This window comes from Homo sapiens, chromosome 3 (genome assembly GCF_000001405.40).
Source record: "Homo sapiens chromosome 3, GRCh38.p14 Primary Assembly".
Lineage (NCBI taxonomy): Eukaryota > Metazoa > Chordata > Mammalia > Primates > Hominidae > Homo > Homo sapiens.
The window spans coordinates 183,745,290-183,767,585 of record NC_000003.12 but is presented as its reverse complement, the minus strand read 5'-3'; the positions used below and the strand labels follow the sequence as shown (position 1 = coordinate 183,767,585).

The 22,296-nt window shown below is 41.8% G+C and overlaps 1 protein-coding gene across 23 annotated transcripts in view; it reads right to left on the bottom strand.

The window, feature by feature from the left end:
- The window catches only part of YEATS2 (YEATS domain containing 2), a 114,828-nt gene that overhangs the window by 45,039 nt on the left and 47,493 nt on the right, over nt 1-22,296 (bottom strand). For 13 of the 23 annotated variants that reach the window (XM_047448528.1, NM_018023.5, XM_047448531.1 and 10 more), the window contains 7 exons: nt 19,870-19,914; nt 15,333-15,513; nt 13,221-13,460; nt 10,897-11,058; nt 8,621-8,724; nt 5,972-6,079; nt 5,307-5,489 (listed from right to left, as the gene is read on the bottom strand). In XM_047448528.1, the coding sequence (XP_047304484.1) occupies nt 5,307-5,489; nt 5,972-6,079; nt 8,621-8,724; nt 10,897-11,058; nt 13,221-13,460; nt 15,333-15,513; nt 19,870-19,914 (1,023 nt within the window). Of the gene's footprint in view, nt 1-5,306; nt 5,490-5,971; nt 6,080-8,620; nt 8,725-10,896; nt 11,059-13,220; nt 13,464-15,332; nt 15,514-19,869; nt 19,915-22,296 lie in introns of all 23 variants that reach the window. The other 10 variants (XM_047448527.1, NM_001351370.2, XM_011512965.2 and 7 more) reach the window with 1 other exon arrangement.

Below are 22,296 nucleotides of genomic sequence, written 5' to 3'. Positions count from 1 at the left end.
CATAGTGAAACCCTGTCTCTACTAAAAATACAAAAAAATTAGCTAGGCATGGTGGTGGGTGCCTGTAATCCCAGCTACTTGGGAGGCTGAGTCAAGAGAATCACTTGAACCCAAGAGGCGGAGGTTGTAGTGAGCCGAGATGGCGCCACTGCTCTCCAGCCTGGGCGACAGTGCAAGACTCCAGCTCAAAAAAAAAAAATTAGCTGGGCGTGGTGGTGTGGGCCTGCGATCCCAGCTAAGGCTGAAGTAGGAGTATAGCTTGAGCCCAGGAGACAGAGGTTGCAGTGAGTCAAGACTGCACCACTGCACTCCAGCCTGGGCAACGGAGCTAGACGCTGTCTCAAAACAGAAACAAAAACCTGGTATCCCAAGTCAGCCACTGGAGGGCAGTCTTTACCAGCAGAGCTTACCCACCTTGTGCACACCGCCTGGGAGATGACTGTCACTACCTCCCTACCTTCCTTCTGGAAAACAGGAGAATGAGGAAATCTGCATTCTGTTGGGAAAAACTCTGCAGCTGATTATGGACACCACTAAGAAGGTGTAAGACCTCTTAAATAAGACTGTATTACCCAAAATTAGTTTGTTATTTTTTTAAAACAACATACTTTGGCCAGGCACAGTGGCTCATGCTTATAACCCCAACACTTTGGGAGGCTGAGGCAGGCAGACTGCTTGAGCCCAGGAGTTCAAGACCAGCCTGGGCAACATAGTGAAAACCAGTCTCTACAAAATACAGAAAACAAAACAAAACAAAAAACCTAATTGGGTGTGGTGGTATCACCTGTAGTCCTGGGAGACTGAGGTGGGATTGCTGGAGCCCAGGGAGGCTGAGACTACAGTGAGTTATGATCATAAAACAAAACAAAACAAAAAAACCCACAAGAGCAACAACCACCAAAAAACCACAACGTATTTCGGCCTAGAGCCTGAACTCACCTACTGACTTTCCTCATTCTCTTCCCATTCAATAATTCTCTCTCTGTTGCTAATTTCCTGCTAGCTTGAGAAAGCAGACACCCATTGTTTTGTATTTGTTATACACTTAACTTCGATTCATGCTTTGATTAAATGTTTCTATTTCTGCCCTCCCTGTTTCCTACACATACCTGTGGCAAGTCAGAATTTACTTCAGCAAACTGAAGGGGAAGAGTCTGTATCTGAGATTTTCCCTCCAGATATTAAAAAATATGGCTGTTTACAAGTTAAGTGCTCACTGATAACCATTACAATGGTACTTAGGCATGGATATGCCTGATACTCACATTAGTTACTATTTACTGAGCACTTGCTCTGTGCTAGGTAGGTCCTTCATATACAATCTCTAATTCTTCTACAACCCTGAAAGACCAGGGCTCAGAACCTGCACAGGTTACACCAGTAATGAGTGGCTGAGATCTGAGATTTGCAACAAGCTCTAACTGCAAAGCTCATGCTCCTTCTACTTTAACACACTGCTTCCTTCCCATATGGAACTACTTATTCCTCAGTTGTCCCTTTTCATGTCAAAGGCAGCACCTCTTCCCACTTTGAGGAAAAAGATCAGCTGTGTTTCTGTTGTCCCAAAGTTGTATGGAGGGTAAAACAGTGCCATTTTTTGCCACCCTCCTGTTTCCTGGCATATCTTTTTTTTTTTTTTTAGACAGAGTCTTGCTCTATCTCCCAGGCTGGAGTACAGTGGCGTCATCTCAGTTCACTGCAACCTTGACCTCCCAGGTTCAAACAATTCTCCTGCCTCAGCCTCCCAAGTAGCTGGGATTACAGGTGCACACCACCATGTCTGGCTAATTTTTGTATTTTTAGTAGAGACAGGGTTTCACCATGTTGGCCAGGCTGGTCTCGAACTCCTGACCTCAGGTGATCTGCCCACCTCAGCCTCCTAAAGTGCTGGAATTACAAGCATGAACCACACACCCAGCCTGTTCTCTGGCATAGTTTCTAGGAATGCACTTCAGCAATAACCAGGAACAGTCTGTACTCACAGACAGCTCCTTATCTCAACTGCTAATCATGGATTCCATTTCCTGGGTAAACAGTGGTATCATCTCACGCACTACTGCTTCTCTGCAGTTCCTTCACACTTTGCTGTGGTTTTTCTTTTCAGATGCCCTTAAACCATATTTAGGGCATTGTGGCACAGACCCACCTATCTCCTCCAACCTTACATTTACCATTAAGTAGGTGGCCATGTGACAAGTCAGTACAGTTGTTCAGCATCACTGGAGGAGTGGATTGGCAATATGCAAAGCGGCAAAAAATGGAAACGAACTTATCCAAGAGCTTCTAACATAAACAGCAATGCTAAGTTGATTCAAAGCAGAAATCAGTAAAGCCACATATCCCTATGTGAAGCAAAACAGATTTTGAGGTACATATACGACAAGCCTGAGTAGGAAGTTCAGATGACAATAACTGATTTACTAAGGGATTTTGGCAGAATTCTTACCCCTGAAGCCAGAACCACAGTGGGAGCACTAGTAAGCAGTTGGGGATGCCTGTCTTAGTCATTCTGGCTACGAATGCCTCAAAGTCAAATGAGATGCTGTAGCACCATGATTCCTAAATCTGCTGCCTAAGTAGATGAATCAGCAGAAACACTTATTAAAAACCCAGATTCCCAGGGATCTCAAGAAGAATCCGATGCAGTAAGTTTGAGATGGTGGCCTAGGTAGCTATCAGCAGATGATTCTTATAACCAGGTAAGTCTGAGAAAGTCGTTAATAAACTTAACAGATTTTAGAACCACCGATAACACCACGAATTTTATTTTATTTTTTTGAGATGGAGTTTTGCTCTTGTTGCCCAGGCTGGAGTGCAATAGCAAGATCTCGTCTCACTGCAACCTCTGCCTGCCGGGGTCAAGCGTTTCTCCTGCCTCAGCCTCCCGAGTAGCTGGGATTACAGGCGCCCGCCACCACGCCCAAATAATTTTTTGTATTTTTAGTATAGACGGGGTTTCACTATGTTGGCCTGATCTCGAACTCCTGACCTCAGGCGATCCACCCGCCTTGACCTCCCAAAGTGCTGGAATTATAGGCGTGAGCCACTGCGACAAGCTCTATGAATTTTTAAGTTGATCCTAATCTCTATCTGATAGCTAAAATCTTTTTCGATTTTGGGCTATTCTTAAAACAATTCATTCTCCTTAGATAGGTAGGCTGGGTTTCAAGCTGAAAAACATCTATATGATATCTTTTTTTTTTTTTTTTTTTTTTTTAAACAGAGTTTCACTCGTTGCCCAGGCTGGAGTGCAATGGTGCGATCTCAGCTCACTGCAACTTCCACCTCCTGTGTTCAAGCCATTCTCCTGCCTCAGCCTCCTGACTAGTTGAGATTACAGGAGCCCGACACCATGTCCACCTAATTCTTGTATTTTTGGTAGAGACAGTTTCACCAAGTTGACCAGGCTGGTCTTCAACATCTGACCTCAGGTGATAACGCACGCCTCAGCCTCTCAAAGTGCTGGGATTACGGGCGTGAGCCACCGTGCCCAGCCATTGTTTTTTGTTTTTTTGTTTTTGAGACAGTCTCCCTCTGTCACCCAGGCTGAAATGCAGTGGCACAGTCTTGGCTCACTGCAACCTCCGCCTCCTGGGTTCAAGTGATTCTCCTGCCTCAGCCTCCCAAGTAGCTGGGATTACAGGTGCATGCCACCCACCACGCTCGGTTTTTGTATTTTTAGTAGAGATGGGGTTTCACCACGTCGGACAGGCTGGTCTCAAACTCCTGACCTGAAGTGATCTGTCCGCCTTGGACTGCCAAAGTGTTAGGTGGCTCACAGGTGTGAGCCACCATGCCGAGCCCATATTATATACTTAATAGCTTTAGAGTATACCTGCCAAAAGTTGAGGTAATTTAACCCTGATGCTCTGAAAGCATACCAAGGTTAGAGACAACCACTTTTCATTAGTTCTGAAATGGGGAGCTTGGAGTTAGCAGGCCTGACTTTAAACACTTTGTCATTTATTAGCTGTAATGCTCCCAAGGAAACTGTTTAACCTCTGAGCCACAGTTTCCTCATTTGTAAAACAGGGATGAAAATCCCCACCCTCCAGGGTTGTGTGTGGATTATAGAAAATGTAGAAATACAAGCATGGCATACACAAAAGCACTCAATATTGATACCATAGTCATCTACCACATTAACGATGTTTTAGTCAATGACAGACTGCATATATTAACAGTGGTCCCATAAGATTATAACACTGTATTTTTACAGTATCTTTTCTATATTTAGATATGTTGAGATCCACAAATACTTATTGTTCTATTACAACTTCCTATAGTATTCAATAGTAACATGCGGAACAGGTTTACAGCCTAGGAGCAATAGGCCACACCATACAGCCTAAGTGTGTAGTTAGCTATTCTATCTGGATTTAAGTACACTGCGATGTTCACACAACAAAATCACCTAATGACACGTCTCAGAATGTACCATCATCAGGTGATGCATGGCTACATTTCCAATTGATTCAGGAAAACATGGCTCTATGTGCTATTTTTTTTTTTAATTTTTTAATTTTTATTTTTTTGAGACAGAGTCTCTCTCTGTCACCCAGGCTGGAGTGCAGTGCCGCGATCTCAGCTCACCGCAACCTCTGCCTCCCAGGTTCAAGCAATTCTCCTGCCTCAGTCTCCCGAGTAGCTGGGATTACAGGCATGTGCCACCACACCCCGCTAATATTGTATTTTTAGTAGAGATGGGGTTTCTCCATGTTGGTCAGGCTGGTCTCGAACTCCTGCCTTCAGGTAATCCGCCCGCCTCAGCCTCCTAAAGTGCTGGGATCACAGGCGTGAGCCACCATGCCCGGCCTCTATGTGCTATTTTAAAATTCTCTCAATACATTAATTCTCCTGTACCTCCAAATTATTAAAAAAAAAAAAGAACTCTACAGAAAGCTAAGAATCATTAAACAGGTAACAGCCCGAACATCAGAGGTATAAACTACAGCATTCTCCTACCATAAATAAACAAGTCAACAGCGGATCCCTTTTAGAGATGAATCAAGTAGAAAGCTGTGCCCATGAGTCAGCTCTGCCTCCACTGCCAGAGACAGCAGTGTTCCCCTGCCTCTTGGCCCATTCCGGGATCCTTTGCAATACATAACGCGGCTCTTGCCAATGATTACTACAGGAGTAGAAGAGTTTCACACCAACAGACTTGTTTTTCCAACTAGGCTTTCACCCACAGGTTCTTATGGGATCATCAACCCTGTCACCGTGAATCTTTTCAGCACTTGTCAATTATTTAGGCAAACAACATCATTTACATGTGAAATTTCCCATCTCTACCCAACACAAACCTTGGAGGGCTGAACCTTTGCTGACTGGGCAATCCCTTCTCCAGGAGTTATGACCTGTTTTTGAGGGGACACAGCTATCATGTGACCCCCTTTCACAGTCACATACTGCGGGAGTGGTGACTGGCTGGCAGCTCCTGTTGCGGGCACGTGAGGGGCTTCACCAGGTTCCTGTTTGATGATCACCTTGCAACAAACATAATGACACTGAATAAACATCCATAAACATCCCATTTTATAAAGCTGCTAATATCTGACTCTTCTCCGTTTGCAGGGATTAATGAATTGATGAAACTTGATACGTAAAGAATGACTCCACCAGAAGGGTAAATATACATACTGCTTAAATACAGTCCATACCAGCTATTAAAGGGACCAAAAGTAGGATCTGAACTTGATCCTGTGCTCCTGTAATAACACAGTCACTTGTTTTAGAGACTGTGGCAAATGACAGCAGAGAGAAACAAACACACTGTGCTCCATGAATCCCCATCTTGCTGGACTCCAAGGGCTGCCCTGAGGACATCATTAAATACATGGAAGCACGTCTCAGAATGAGGAGTTGAGACCCACTAAAAAGTAACATGTTGTAGGGGTAGTGGCAATGAACTCCAACATGCCACAAAAAGTATTATGACTTGTGGGACAATGCCCTAATACATACTCACTTTTGTGAAAGCTCCAAGTCCTCCTGTTATAGGTTTGGGGCTTTGAACCTTAGGGTGACTCCCAATTGGGCAAAGAGGTGGCATAGATGCAAACAAAGAATCCTCCTGCTGTGTGTGTAAAAATACATATTTTACAATCAGGAGAAATGGGTGATTTCAGATATCTAGTCACTTATATTTAATACAAACCTGTGACATTCTCTAGCAATATAAAGAAATAAAAAGACTGGCTGGGTGCGGTAGCTCACGCCTGTACTCCCAGCACTTTGGGAGGCAGAGGTGGGTGGATCGCCTGAGGTCGGGAGATCAAGACCAGCCTGACCAACACGGAGAAACCCTGTCTCTACTAAATATACAAAATTAGCCGGGTGTGGTGGCGGGTGCCTGTAATCCCAGCTACTTGGGAGGCTGAGGCAGTAGAATCACTTGAACCAGGGAGGCAGAGGTTGTGGTGAGCCGAGATCACGCCACTGCACTCCAGCCTGGGTGACAAGAGCAAAACTCCGTAAAAAAAAAAGAAAGAAAAAAACCTAAAATTCCTTGGGGTCTTCCAAGCCTCTACACCTGCATTTTAATATTGTTTTAGAAAACAAATGCAAAGAAAAGCTGTAACTTGGCAAGAATCTACTCATCTGTGTCCTGCTGTACACTGGAAAGACTTCTAACTTACTACCCCTAACATTTGGCTGACTTTATTGGTCTTCCCCGATAGTTGGTAAACCACTAAAGGACAGGGACTGTATTTAATTTTATATCCCTGGAGCCTAGGCACTAAATAAATAAATGAAAGAAACAGGCAGCTGCAATGTTTCAGTATATACTCTCTTTTAATAGTACTCACAACTGATTTGCAAAATTTACTCAATGAACACCCAGAATACAAAGGAAAAATTTTCAATAAAAACTTAAAAAACAAGCAAACAAACAAAAAACTTGAATAATTTGGCACAGGCAAAGACAACGAAAGTCAACATTCAAAACTTCTGTAGTTCTGGCCAGGCGCAGCGGCTCACGCCTGTAATCCCAGCACTTTGGGAGGCTGAGGCGGGCAGATTACCTGAGATCAGGAGTTCGAGACCAGCCTGACCAACGTGGAGAAACCCCGTCTCTACTAAAAATACAAAATTATCCGGGCGTGGGGCGCATGCCCTGTAACCCCAGCTACTCAGGAGACTGAGACCGCAGAATCGCTTGAACTCAGGAGGCAGGAGGTTGCAGTGAGCCAAGATTGCGCCACTGCACTCCAGCCTTGGCAACGAGAGCGAAACTCTGTCTCAAAAAAAAAAAAAAAAAAAAAAAAATTCTGTAGTTTCTCTTTAATTCTCAAACACAAAATGCAAATCTCAGAGGTAATCTGTCAAAATTTGGAAACGAAGAACACTTCTTGGCTGTAAAGTAAAATGATCACCAACAAACAATAAAAATTAAACCAGCAGAGTTAAGACTTTCAAGATTACTATAATTCAGACATTCATATAACAGTGCCAACACACTGCACAGAACTTAGAGAACAGCCTCGCCTTGGACCAGGAAGTCATTCAATATCATCATTAGTGTCTAAATAAAAGAAATGCTGTGTCAGGCACCAGTCATTTGACTGGAACAGGTCAGATCATATTTGGAGTTGTAAATTTTAAAGGACTGCTTACCCAGAAAAAGGGGAGCAGGGGAGAGACTCTGTGGAGGTAAGCATTATTTTCAAATAGCTAAACGGTTAACACATGGAAAAGGAAACACTGATGCTCCCCGACTTAGGATGGGGTTACGTCTGGATAAACCCATCATAAGGGGAAAACATCATAGGCCAAAAGTGCATTTTTGACTTCCCACACTTTCACCGTATGGTGGGTTTATCTGAATATAACCCCAGCGTAAGCTGAGGGCTCGCTAAGTGCATATTGCTTTTGCACCACGGTAAAGTCGAAAAATCGTTAAGTTGGACCACTGTAAGGTGGGAGCCATTTGTATATTTACTTCTTGGTGATGCAAACATAGAAAAGATAGGAACGTGCTGTCAGATGAATGTTTTTATATTTTTAAATTTTTATTTTTTTTATGGGTTAAGGAGCAGAAAGTTTAATAAGCAAAAGAAAGGGGAGAGGACAGCAGCTCTCTGTTGCGAGAGAGAGAGGTGTCCAAAAGGGAAGAGGTCAGATGAATATTTTTATAAGCAAGTATTTTTAACAAACTTTTCAAATAAGTAAATAAATAATCTTATCACAGTAAGTTTTTAAATTGATACTGGGTGACTATTTCACACAAGTGTTGTGAAGCATTTGTGACACTATGAAAAGATCCAAGTAAGGTAGTAAAGTCTGGAGTAGATCCAAGTAAGTTAGTAAAGTCTGGGGGTAGTAAAGTCTAGATACTTAACAGCTTGAAGATTCCATTTTATGAAATTTGCGTCATCAACTGACACATTCTTGCTGAGGCTGAACATACTATGTTCAGAAACCGGCAAAGTGGCGGGGTGCAGCTCATGCCTGTAACCGCAGTACCCTGGCAGGTGAGGTGGCAGATCTCTTGAGGCCAGGAGTTCGATACAGCCTGGTTAATACGGGGAGACCCCATCTCCATTTGAAAAATTATTTTTTAAAAATGAAAAGAAAAAGAAGCTAGCAAAGTGTAATAACGCAGTAAGAATGTTACCTTGACAGTAGATGTTACAAAACTACTTCCATGAATTTTAGGAACAGGGGAACCTGTTCCTTGGGAGACCTGAGAAGCCGTGGAGATCTTGTTTGTAGGACTTCCTGATAAGCAAGGCACAATTAAAACATAAACAAAGTAAAATTTACAAAAGGTAATTTTAAAGCATTTCTACCATCCTCCCCTCTTTCGCACTATTTATTTTTCATGTTTAAGGGTTGAAAACTCATTGTTAAGGCTGAAACTAGTATGGAAAAAAACCCTTAAGGACCCATCCCTGTGAAGCTGATCTCATGCTCAACCTGAAGAAGGTAAGAAGCTGGTAAGGACATGCAGAAGAATAAGTAGTAAAGTCACTTGTTTTAGACTACTCCTTGTACAATAAACAGTAGCATATTCTCGTATATTCTACTCCTTATACAATAAAAGACACTATAACGTATTCTACTTGTATGTTCTACTCCTCATACAATAAAAGACACTACAACATAATGATACTGTTTAACAAATGTGCCAGAATATATGCATTCTGCTAGCTCCTTCAAAGTAGTTTCACCAGAAAGTTATGCCTATTCCAAAATGCTGCCAACATTATTATTTTTTTTTCCTGAGATGGAGTCTCGCTCTGTCACCCGGGGTGGAGTGCAGTTGCCTGATCTCGGCTCACTGCAACCTCCACCTACTGGGTTCAAGTGATTCTCCCACCTCAGCCTCCCCAGTAGCTGGGACTACAGGCACGCGCTACCACACCTGGCTAATTTTTCTATTTTTAGTGGAGATGGGTTTCGCCATGTTAGCCAGGCTGCTCTCGAACTCCTGACCTCAGGTGATCCGCCCACCTTGGCCTCCCAAAGTGCTGGGATTATGGGCATGAGCCACCACGCCTGGCCAACATTAAACATTTTATACTCCATCTGTACAACTGCCTTTAGAGTCTGAAAAAAATTTAGTCATATATTACCTATAGTCAACAAGTCAAGACCCCAAATAGTATTTAATCATTTACTCCATTTACCAAACTTGCCTCCAAAGACTTCTAGCTGATTCCTAAAACAAAATGTCATGAAATAACACCTATTTGGCATCCTTAAGTATGTTCGAAAGGTACTGGGTAAGCCTTGAACACAGTAATTTTTAAGGGCATTCCACAATTACAATCACTATTAAAATTTAGCCTTTCCAAAAAAAAAAAAAACTGCTTGGAAAAGCCCAACATACATTCATGTGTTAAATCCAATAGGTCAAACAAACAACAACAAAAAAATCAGTCTCATTATCTTATAATCATCCCTTTTATTTCATTTATCTTCTATTTCTCTTAATTAGAAGTGAAAACTTCAGGGAAGTTTATAGTTAGGAGCGTGTGTTTAAATACAGGTTGAATGGGGCCAGGCGTGGTAGCTCACGCCTGTAAATCCAGCACTTTGGGAGGCTGAGGCAGGTGGATTGGAGTTTGAGACCAGCCTGGCCAACATGGTGAAACCCCATCTCTACTAAAAATACAAAAATTAGCTGGGCGTGGTGGTGCACGCCTGTAATTCCAGCTACATGGGAGGCTGAGGCAGGAGAATTGCTTAAACCCAGGAGGTGGAGGTTGCAGTGAGCCGAGATCACGCCACTGCACTCCAGCTTGGGTGAAAAGAGCAAGACTCTGTCTCAATAAATTAATAAATTAATTAATTAACAATAAATACAGGTTAACTGAAGGGAATAAATAAAATAATGTTAGAGAAAGCATTTCAAAAAAACCTAAAAAGCATGGGATTACAGTGAGGAACACGGTGAACCCAAGGATGACTTTTTCCTATTAGAGTTCTCTTTAAAACTGCAGGTTTCAATTTCCCCTCCCACAAGCAGAATGGGTCTTCCTTGAAGAAAATAATATCATTTTTTATTTGACTGGGGAGAACGGTATGTGGCCCACAAGGTTAGCAAAAGCTTCTTTGGAAGAGGTAGTAACCACATTGCTTACAGTCCCCCAAAGCGTAAGTCTTCCAAATGAAAACAAAATCAACTATTCTTTTAAGAACATTCATTATGGCTTATTTTGAACTTTTAGAAATTAAAAGAAAACTCAAGTAAATTCTAAAAAATGCAACTTTTACAGAGTAAATCTCCCCTCAGAGAAAGAGTATTGGCTTTCCTTTTACTTATTCTCGCTTCTCGTTTACGGGAGATTTCATTCTCCAATTACATGGCTACCAAGTCATGGCAGGATTACATTTTTAATAAAGATCAAACCCTTTAGATGGTACAAATATGGATCTAATACACACCTGTACTGGGAGTGGTGGCTCCAATCACCTGCCCCGGCTGCTTGTCCATGATAACATAAGGATTATTAATAACAGAGCCGGCAGTGCCTTGCTTCACGTGGACTGGAGTGGAAGTCGGGGTTCGAGGCAATGGTGATGGGCTTGGAGTTGATATTGGGGAACCTTATTAATTAAAAAGAGAGAATACAAACAAAATACACATATTCAACTCACGTAAGAAGATGTCGAGGACAAGGAAGAAGGTCAGTGCCACCAGGACAAAGGTAACAAATTGGGAAAATAAAATGGATACTGCGTGCTCCCGGTACTGAGCAGCAACAGAGGTACAAAGGAGGCAGAGGATGTATGTTTCATGCTCTGCATCCTTATCCATGGATCAACAGCATCAGTATCATCGAGGAAATTGTAAGAAACAGATTTTATGGTCCCATCCTTGACCTACTAAACATAAATCTCACTTCAACAAGATCTCCTGGTATGCACCTTATAGTTCAGAAAGCAGTGCTTTACACAGCAGTGCAAAACTGCTGAACCTTTTTTTGTAACTGCTGAATCTTGATATGATAAATCTTTTAACACCATAGGCAGGCTTTTATAGTACTGGTTATACTCGAAGACACTAAAATTAGAGACCGGGCATGAGACACCAGGTGCAGTGGCTCGTGCCTGTAATCCCAGCACTTTGGGAGGCCGAGGCAGGCGGATCACCTGAGGTTGTGAGTTCGAGACCAGCCTGACCAACATGGAGAAACCCTGTCTCTACTAAAAATACAAAATTAGCTGGGTGTGGTGGCGCATGCCTGTAATCCCAGCTCCTCGAGAGGCTGAGGCAGGAGAATCGCTTGAACCCGGGTGGCGGAGTGAGCCGAGATCGTGCCATTGCACTCCAGCCTGGGCAACAAGAGCAAAACTCTGTCTCAAAAAAAAAAAAAAAAAAAAAAAAAAAAAGAAAGGAAGGAAGAAAATCAGTAAGTAAACAGCTAGATTTAAGAACCTGGTGTCTTGTTTTGAATAGGAAAATATGAAATTCACCTACCCAGAATAAAAGTCTCTGTCAATACTATGTCACAGCCGTAACCCAGAAAGATTCGTGTTCCCGCAAAATACTCTCAAAAGTTACTGACAGTTAAACATCCTCTACTGTCTTTTATTGATCAAACGTCATCCATGAATTTCTTTAAACTTCAAATCAATTTATATGTTCAGCCTATTCCACCTCTGAAGTAGCAAGTTCCAAAATTTTTCTACCTGGTAGGTAAAATTGCCTACCAATGACAGGGGACGGTGGCTCACGCCTGTAACCGGAGCACTTTGGGAGGCCAAGGTAGGTGGATCACCTGAGGTCAGGAGTTCAAGACCAGCCTGGCCAATATGGTGAAACTCCGTCTCTACTAAAAATACAAAATTAGCTGGGAGTGGTGACACGTGCCTGCAGTCCCAGCTACTTGGGAGGCTGAGCCAGGAGAATCACTTGAACCCGAGAGAGGTGGAGGCTGCAGTGAGCTGAGATCGCGCCATTGCACTCCAGCGTAGGTGACAAGAGTGAAACTCCATCTCAAAAAAAAAAAATTGCCTACCAATTAGAAGCTATTTATCTCTCATCAAAGATTTGGATCCTATTTCTACTTAGCTGTCTACTTACAACACCAAACATTCTTTTTTTCCCCCCTTCATTTAACTATTATACAGAAGTCCTCATACTTCCTGGTTATTTCCAATTGCCTTTTAACAAACATGTTTTGTTCTAAGGTGGAACAGTCAAAACCATATATTCCTACTAAATTTTACCTAACATAAAATGAAACTATCACAAGGCAAAAGATAATCCAATCTTAGTGAACAAGACAACTCAGAACTACCTACTGACAATAGGAATGAATAATTTTCTAGTGTGGTTACAGACAGAATAAAGCATTTCAATTCCCAACCAACTCTAACCCTTAAAATTTAACTCCATGCCAAAGGCCTCTAAATTTTTTCTATCACTAGTCACTGTGGTTTCCATGTATATAATCCCCAAACACGATTCCTACACCTTAGTTTCAGCCATATATCCTAGCAAACATTTTACCTGTGCTGATTCTGGCAGACAAAAATTTGACCATTTGAGTTTCATTTATCTCCTCCATTCATTTCCGTATGAATGAGCTTTGTTTTTGCCTTGTGACAGCTTTGCCAATCAACAGTGATAAACTTCCTTTTGTTAAACATAACACTGCTTAGAAGAACTTAAGAGAAAAAAAGCCAAGTATTTTGTTTTGTTGTTCCAACAATTTTAACATCCAGTCAACTCCACATACACTGTCTTCAAAACATCTGCATACCTGACACAATCTTGCAGCTCATGGTGATGGGCTGGAAGGATTTTCCAGGTGACTCAGGATTAGGAACCTGACTTTGTGGAACAATTTTGCAGCTTGATGCTATTGGCTGGAAAGCTGAATTGCCATGGGAACAAAAGGTAACTTTCTGGGATGTAGTCATTTTGGTGGGTGTTCTTTCCAATGAAGATGGCAAAGCATAAAACGGAGTGTGTCGTTCAGCTTCAGTGCTAGCTGGGAATCCTGCTTGAGATGAAAGAGGCAAACGGCAAGTCATCAATCGCTTTGAAATAAAACCTTACCGTTGTGGAAAAAGAATAAAAATGCATTATTTCAACACCATTTTAAACCATGTACTGGTAGCAAAATAAATACAATCAATCATCCCTTCATATTTTTGGTGAAAAATATATATGCTTAGAATAATGTTTAAAGTGCTTTTTTAAAAAAACTTGAAAACATTATTAACTATAAACCATGTATAACATAAAAAGAACAAAAGTTCTTATGTTCCTCCATTTTTTAATATATAAACTGAAAAACTGTTTAGAGAAGAAAAAATCTTAGAAAGCATTCACTAAATCTAATGATATCCTCCTATCTTATTTATTTACTTATTTTTGAGACATTATTTCACTTGTCACCCAGGCTAGAGTGCAGTGGTGTGATCTCAGCTCACTGCTACCTCCACCTCCCGGGTTCAAGCAATTCTTGTGCCTCAGCCTCCGGAATAGCTGGGATTACAGGTATGCACCACCATCCCTGGCTAATTTTTGTATTTTTAGTAGAGACGGGGTTTTGCCATGTTGGCCAGGCTGGTCTTGAACTCCTGACCTCAGGTGATCCGATGGTTTCAGCCTCCCAAAAGGCTGGGAATTACAGGCATGAGCCACCGTGCCCGGCCCCTCTTGTATCTTATTAAATGCCCATAAAAAAGATGCAATTGAAATCTAAAGAGGAATAAAGTTGAGATTTTATAAAAGAACTATAATACTAACCACATTAAAATATAGGCTTAGAAATAAAACATTTAAGATCAATTTTATATCTTTTATGCTTATATATGGGAACATTAAAATATGTATTTATACACATATATTTGTTAAATTTAAAAATGGCATGGTCAAAATACATTGTTGGTGATGAATCTTTTCTTAAGTAAAACCAGGTATTTAATATCCAAGTTTCTTGCTCGCACAATCAGAAGCTGAACCATAAAGTCTTCCTGTAATACATTATAAGGAATTATCAAGTGATAAAAATCTGTTTTAGGCCAGGCGTGGTGGGTCATGCCTGTAATCCCAGCACTTTGGGAGGCCAAGGTGGGTGGATCACCTGAGGTCATGAGTTCGAGACCAGCCTGGCCAACATGGTGAAAACCCATCTCTACTAAAAATACAAAAATTAGCCGAGAGCGGTGGTGGACGCCTGTAATCCTAGCTAACAGGGAGGCTGAGGCAGGAGAATTGCTTGAACCCAGGAGGTGGAGGTTGCAGTGAGGCGAGATCATGCCACTGCACTCCAGCCTGGGCAACAGAGCAAGACTCCATCTCAAAATAAAATAAAATAAAAATAAATTTAAAAATCTTATGTTTTTTAGCTATTTTTACATTTTATAATATGTCAGTAAAACTTCATGGAAATTTTTTTTTTTTTTTTTGAGATGGAGTCTCGCTCTGTTGTCCAGGCTGGAGTGCAGTGGTACCATCTCAGCTCACTGCAAGCTCCACCTCCCGGGTTCGAGCCATTCTCCTGCCTCAGCCTCCCGAGTAGCTGGGACTACAGGCACCCACCATCACACCCAGCTAAATTTTTGTATTTTTAGTAGAGACGGGGTTTCACCGTGTTAGTCAGGATGGTCTTAATCTCCTGACCTCATGATCCACCCGCCTTGGCCTCCCAAAGTGCTGGGATTACAGGTGTGAACCACAGCTCCCGGCCGGAAAAATATTTTTGACAAGAGTGGAAATTTGGCTTTCATAACAGAACTGTGTAGTAGAGGCAGCATGTCCACTTATAGCAAAGTTATTTTCCATATACTATAGGTCTCTGAAAGCAGCAAATGGGAAAGGAATGCCTCAGAACAACGCTATGCAAGGAAAACTGCTGTATTACCTTTCTCCACAGAGGTATCGGGTACTGGCTCATGTGACTGCTTTATTGGTGAAGAAGCTTTCACTGGGGCTGGAATGGTCAAAGGCAAAGATGGAGGGGCATCAGAGATGTCAGACTCCGAGGACTGAGGATAGATACAGTCTTCTCCGAGAGAATGGCGATGGAGTTCAACATCCACTACCTAGACAATTGGGCAACAATCAGGCTCATGAGTCCATCATCAATGTCACAGAAAGCTCAAGTCCCGTCCAAGAATGTAATCTCCGGGATGTGAGAGATAACTTCTAATCACACTTCAAAGGCAATTTCAATCTGAAGAACTAAAGGATTTATTCTAGAAGGTAATCTAATCTGGCTTAACAGACACATACCTCAGTGAAAATCTAATCTGGTTTAACATACAAATCTCAGTGAAATTATTCACAAAATTGGGACCTCTTGATTTTGCTGTTGCTACTCCTTACAACGCTATTCCTCCAAATCTTTGCATGGCTGCCTTTCTCACCAGCAGGTCTCAATGAAGTAGCACCTTCTCAGAGAGACCATGCCTAACCACCCAAGAATAAGCTACTTCCTTATCCCCCAGCTACTCTTATCTTCACAGCACTTATTTGTAACTGAAGTAATTTTATTTGCTTTTGTGTTTACTGTCTACCCTCCCCATTTTCAATGCCACTAAGAATTTGACTCTGAAGGAAGAAGCTACCGTGTTCATTTCTGTATTCCCAGCACCTGGACCAGCGCTCAATAAGTACCTTCTGATATAATACAGCAGATTTCTCTAGACAGAGTAAGATTTAATTAGTGAACTCTGATTAAATGGCTATTGCTGATTATTATATGATGAATACAAAAAAAGGGAGAGAAGGTGAAGAACAAAGTTGGAGGTCTCAGACTCCTGATTTCAAAATTTATTACAAAGCCATAGTAATCAACAGTATGCTGCTGGCATAAAGACAGACATACAGACCAATGGAACAGAATAAATCCTCACATATATGGTCAAATGATCTTTGACAAGGGTCCCAAGACCATTCAGTGGGGGAAAAGACAGTATTTTCAGCAAATGGTGCCAGGGAAACTGGATATCCATATGCCAAAGAATGCAATCGGACCCTTACCTTACACTATATACCAAAATTAACTCAGGATCAAAGAACGAAACATAAAAGCTAAAACAATAAAACTCCTAGAAGAAAATGTAAGGGAAAAGCTTCATGACACTGAATTTGGTAATGGTTTCTTGGACACGACACCAAAAGCACAGGCAACAAAATAAAAAATAGACAAACGGGACATCAAACTTAAAAACTTCTGTGCATCAAAGGACACAATCAACAGAGTGAAAAGGCAAAAATATAACACGGAATGGAAGTAAATATTTGCAAATCATCTATCTGGTAAGGGGTTACTATCCAGAATATATGAATAACTCCTGTCACTTAGCAACAACAAAAACCAAACCACCTAATTTAAAAATGGGCAAAGACATTTTCTGAATGTCTCTGAATAGACATTTCTCCAAAGAAGATAAACACATGGTCACCAAACACATGAAGGGATCCTCAACATCACTAATGATTAGAGAAACACAGATCAAAACCACAAGATATCACATCACAAACAACAGAATAACTACTATAAATTAAAATACAAAAAAAATTAACAAATGCTGGTGAAGACGTGGAGAAACTGGAATACGTGTGCACTGTTGGTGGGAATGTAAAATGGTGCGGCTACCACGAAAAAATATAGCAGTGGTTCCTCTAAAAATAGAATTACCATAGGATCCAGCCAATTCCATTTCTGGGTATATACCCAAAAGAACTGAAAGCAAGGATTTGAATAGATACCTGTACACCTACGTTCATAGCAGCACTATTAACAACAGCCAAAAGCTGGAAGCAACGCAAGTGTCCATCAGCAGGTGAACGGATAAACAAAATGTGGTATATACATACAATGCAGTATTATTCAGCCTAAAACAGGAAGAGGGGCGGGGCACAATGGCTCATGCCTATAATCCCAACACTTTGGGGGGCCAAGGCAGGCGGACAGCTTGAGCCCAGGAGTTGAAGACAAGCCTGGACAACATAGTGAGACCCTGTCTCTACAAAAAATAAACAAGTAGGCCGGGCGCGGTGGCTCATGCCTATAATCCCAGCACTTTGGGAGGCCGAGGCAGGCAGATCATGAGGTCAGGAGATCAAGACCATCCTGGCTAACACAGTGAAACCCCGTCTCTACTAAAAATACAAAAAAAAAAAAATTAGCCGGGCGTGGTGGCAGGTGCCTGTAGTCCCAGCTACTCAGGAGGCTGAGGCAGGAGAATGGCGTGAACCCGGGAGGTGGAGCTTGCAGTGAGCCGAGATCGAGCCACTGCACTCCAACCTGGGCAACAGAGCGAGACTCCATCTCAAAAAATAAATAAATAAATAAACGAGTAAGTAAATAAATTAGCTGGTCATGGTGGCACACGCCCACAGTCCCAGCTACCTGACAGGCTAAGGACAGATTACTTGAGCCCAGGAGGTCAAAGCTGCAGTGAGCCGTGATTGCACTCCAGGCTGGGTGAGAGAGAGCAAGACTCTTTCTCAAAAATAAATAAATAAAAATAAATTTTTTTACAAAGGAAGGAAATTCTGACATACGCTACAACATGGATGAAATCTGAGGACATTATGCAAAGCGAAATAAGGCAATCCCAAAGAGACACATATGTTATGATTCCACTTATATGAGGTACCCTAGAGTAGTCAAATTCACACAGACAGAAAGTAGAGCAGCAGTTGCCAGTGCTGGGGGGGCGGGAGGAGTGGGTGGTCATTTTTTAATGGGTACAGAGTTTCAGCTCTGCAAGACGAAAACAGTTCTAAAGATGGACTAAGGTCATGGCTGCATAATAATGTGAATATACTTAATGCCACTAGACTGTACACTGAAAAATGGGTAAGACGGTAAATTTTGTGTTACGTGTTTTTTAAGCACAATTTTTAAAAAATATATGAACCGGCCGGGCGCCATGGCTCACGCCTGTAATCCCAGCACTTTGGGAGGCCGAGATGGGCGGATCACAAGGTCAGGATATCGAGACCATCCTGGTCTAACTCGGTGAAACCCCATCTCTACTAAAAATACAAAAAATTAGCCGGGCGTGGTGGCGGGTGCCTGTGGTCCCAGCTACTTGGGAGGCTGAAGCAGGAGAATGGCGTGAACCCGGGAGGCGGAGCTTGCAGTGAGTGGAGATCACGCCACCGCACTCCAGACTGGGCGACAGAGTGAGACTCTGTCTCAAGAAAATATATATACATTTTGAAAATATATATATATACACACACATATATATATGAACCAAGGCTGGGCGCAGTGACTCATGCCTGTAATCCCAGTGCTTTTGGATGCTGAGGTGGGAGGACTGCTTGAAGCCAAGAATTCGAGACCAGCCTGTGAACATAGTAAGACACTGTCTCTATAAAAAATGTAAAAATTAGCTGGGCTTGCTAGTGCAGGTGTACAGTCCTAGCTACTTGGGAGGCTGAGGTGGGAGAATGGCTGGAGTCTAGCAATTCAAGGTTGCAGTGAGCCATGATGTTACTGTACTCCAGCCTGGCTGACAGAGTAAGACCCTGTCTCAATTAAAAAAAGAGAAGAGAAAAAGAAGAAAAGAGAAGAGAAAAGGAGAAAGCCTGGTGTGGTGGCTCACGCCTGTAATCCCAGCACTTTGGGAGGCCAAAGCGGGTGGATCACCTGAGGTCAGGCAGTTCGAGAGCAGTCAGCAGTTCGAGAGCAGCCTGACCAACATAGTGAAACCCCGTCTCTACTATGAATACAAAAATTAGCTGGGTGTGGTGGCGCGTGCCTGTAGTCACAGCTACTTGGGAGGCTGAGGCAGGAGAATCGCTTGAACCCAGGAGGAGGTTGCAGTGAGCCAAGATTGCTCCACTGCACTCCAGCCTGGGCAACAGAGCGTCACTCCCTCTCAAAAAAAAAAAAAAAGGAGGGGAAGGGGAGGGGACAAGGGGAAGGGGAAAGGGAAGGGAGAAGGAAGGGAAGAGGAGGGAGGGGAGACAAGGGGAGAGGAGCCACAAGTTTCCTGGTAAGCCTGTGGAACTGTGAGTCTATTAAACCTCTTCATAGATTACCCAGTCTTCGGTAGTTATTTATAATAGTGTGAGAATGGACTAACACAGAAAGGCAAACTTTAAAAAAAAAAACTAACACTAATTTTTTCCCTAATTAAAAATGAAGATCGGCCAGGTGCAGTGGCGCACACCTGTGAAACCCTGTCTCTACTAAAAATATAAAAATTAGCCAGGCATGGTGGTGCGTTCCTGTAATCCCAGCTACTCGGGAGGCTGAGGTAGGAGAATCACTTGATCCTGGGAGGAAGAGGTTGCAGTGAGCCGAGATCATGCCACTGCACTCCAGCCTGGGTGACAGAGCGAAGACCCCGTCTCAAAACAAACAAACAAACAAAAAATGAAGATCAATTTTCATCCTACTCATTCCCAGATAATACTGTAGGAAAAAAACCTACCGTCTCTGCTCCAAGAGTCTGCAAGCCAGTATAAGTTCTATCCAGCTATGGAAAGACAAAAGGGAGAGTGTTAAATTTCACTGCACTTACTTACATATTATCATAGGATACAATCTTTATCTACAGCTCTTTTGCAAGTCTTCATACCATAGGATCTACTTTTTCATAATGTAAAATATAAATTCATCACTTCAATAAAAAATTGAGTAAAATCAATAAAAACCTCAGACATATAGTTACTATATTTTTAATATAAATTATAATTTTAAAAAACCTATTCTAAGGACAATGTAAAAATGGAGGAAGTTTTACACAAAAAGATGTTTACTGCAGCATTATCTATAACCAAACTAAAAACAACATAAAAATCCAGAATAAAGGAATGTGTAAGTAAACCATGGACCATCAATCTCTGAAATATCATGCAGCCACATAGATGAGGTTTGCAAAGACTGTGTACAGATATTTTAAATGACAGGCTATACATATTTTAAATGCATACATTCTTGGACACAATTATATACTCAGAGTATATTTACTAAGCACTTAAAAAAAAGAATGAAAACATAGGCAGTAGAGGCTATGCTAATGACTTCAAATATACTGGCATCATGATTTGTTTTTTGAGAGAGGAACACAAACTGAGGGTATGTTAATAATATAAACAAGAGTTTACAATTACACAGAAAAAGGTTAAGTTCTTATTTGTAAATTTATATTCCACCACTAAAAAAAGAACTTGTGATAACAATATAAACATGCAATAAGATTAACAGGGAAAAGTATTAAATTGGGTAGAAAAAAAAAAGAGAGGGAAAAAATGAAGCCAGGGTAGGTTAGTAAATACAAGGTTTTAAAGGCTTATGAGAGGTAGGTGTCACGTCTGGCTGAGTTTCTTAGCAGCCAACATAGAGAGGACAACTCAGTCAGTTATGAGAGTTAGTGTTCACAAGATAAAAAGCAATACAGGGTGGATTAATAGTGGTTCCATGGAAGAAATCTGGAGTTTTAATATTTAAACCTTAGCTAACAGTATGACTGCTAAAAAAAAAAAAAAAAGGTAATTTTAGGTTACATCCATTTTCACAGTCTCCAGAGCATAGAAATAATAGTCTCTCTGTAATCCGCACGGGTGTATCTTTCATTGTTGGGACCAAATTTCAAGAGGGACATTGGATAGGACAGAACTAGTATCAAAACAAGAAGAGGAACTGGAAAACAAAGCATACAAGAAATGTAACAGGAACAGGTTTTGCCTGGAGTAGAAATGATTTCAGGAGACATGAAGGCTATCATTAAACATTTTTAGCGTTCTTATAAAACAAAGCCTTATTCTGTATTATTTCAAAAATCAACAGCCTGAGGCCAGGCTTGGTGGCTCACTTCTGTAGTCCCAGAACTTTGGGAGACTAAGGCAGGCTGATTGCTTGAGTCCAGGAGTTTAATACCAGCCTGGACAACATGGCAAAAGCCTGTCTCTACAAAAATTAGCCAGGTGTGGTGGCATGTTCCCGTAGTCTCAGCTACTCAGGAGGCTGACGCAGGAGGATCTCTTGAGCCCAGGAGGTTGAGGTTGCAGTGAGCCATGATCGCCCCACTGCACACCAGCCTGGGTGAAAAAGGGAGATCCTATCTACAAAAAACAAACGAACGAACAAACAAAAAAACCAGCCTGGGCAACATGGCGAGACCTCAACTCTACAAAAATAATTAAACAATTAGCCAGGCATGGTGGCGCACGCCTGTGGTCCCAACTACTCAGGAGGATGATGCGGGAGGATTGCTTGAATCCAGGAAGTTGAGACTGCAGTGAACCGTGTTTGCATCACCGCACTTCAGCATGGGTGACAAAGCGAGATCCTGTCTCAAAACAAACAAACAAAACAGAAAAAAGAAACACTACGACAAAAGGACAAACGGGGTCAAGGTTTTACTAAATGGATCAATGTGTTGGCTTGGGAAGTGCTGTGCTCTAGGGTAATGGGTAAGGAGAGAGTAAATGACTACCTGTCAGAAATGCAGGATATAGTAATTTCACACATTCTAGGAACTTTAAATTTTATGTAACTCTAATATTTAGAGTATTTAATATTTAATGTATATTTACAGAATCAAATACACGTCATTATTTACTGTACAAAATACAAAGATCACTTCAGGCTTTAACAGCCAGGAAAAGCTACATAAGAACTTGAAGAATGCAAAGAATTCAGACAAGCATCTGAGGAGGGGAAGAGCATTAAAAAAGACCCAAGGAAAGACGGCCCAAGGCATCTCTATGACATGAATAGACTGCCATGGCTAGAGCAGAATGTTCATCAGGGGATTTGTGCGAGACAATCTAGGGGAAGTAAATCGAGTCAAAATGAGCCCTGAGAGCAGGTGGGGGCATTCGCACTTTAACAGGAATTCAACCAAGTTTTCTGA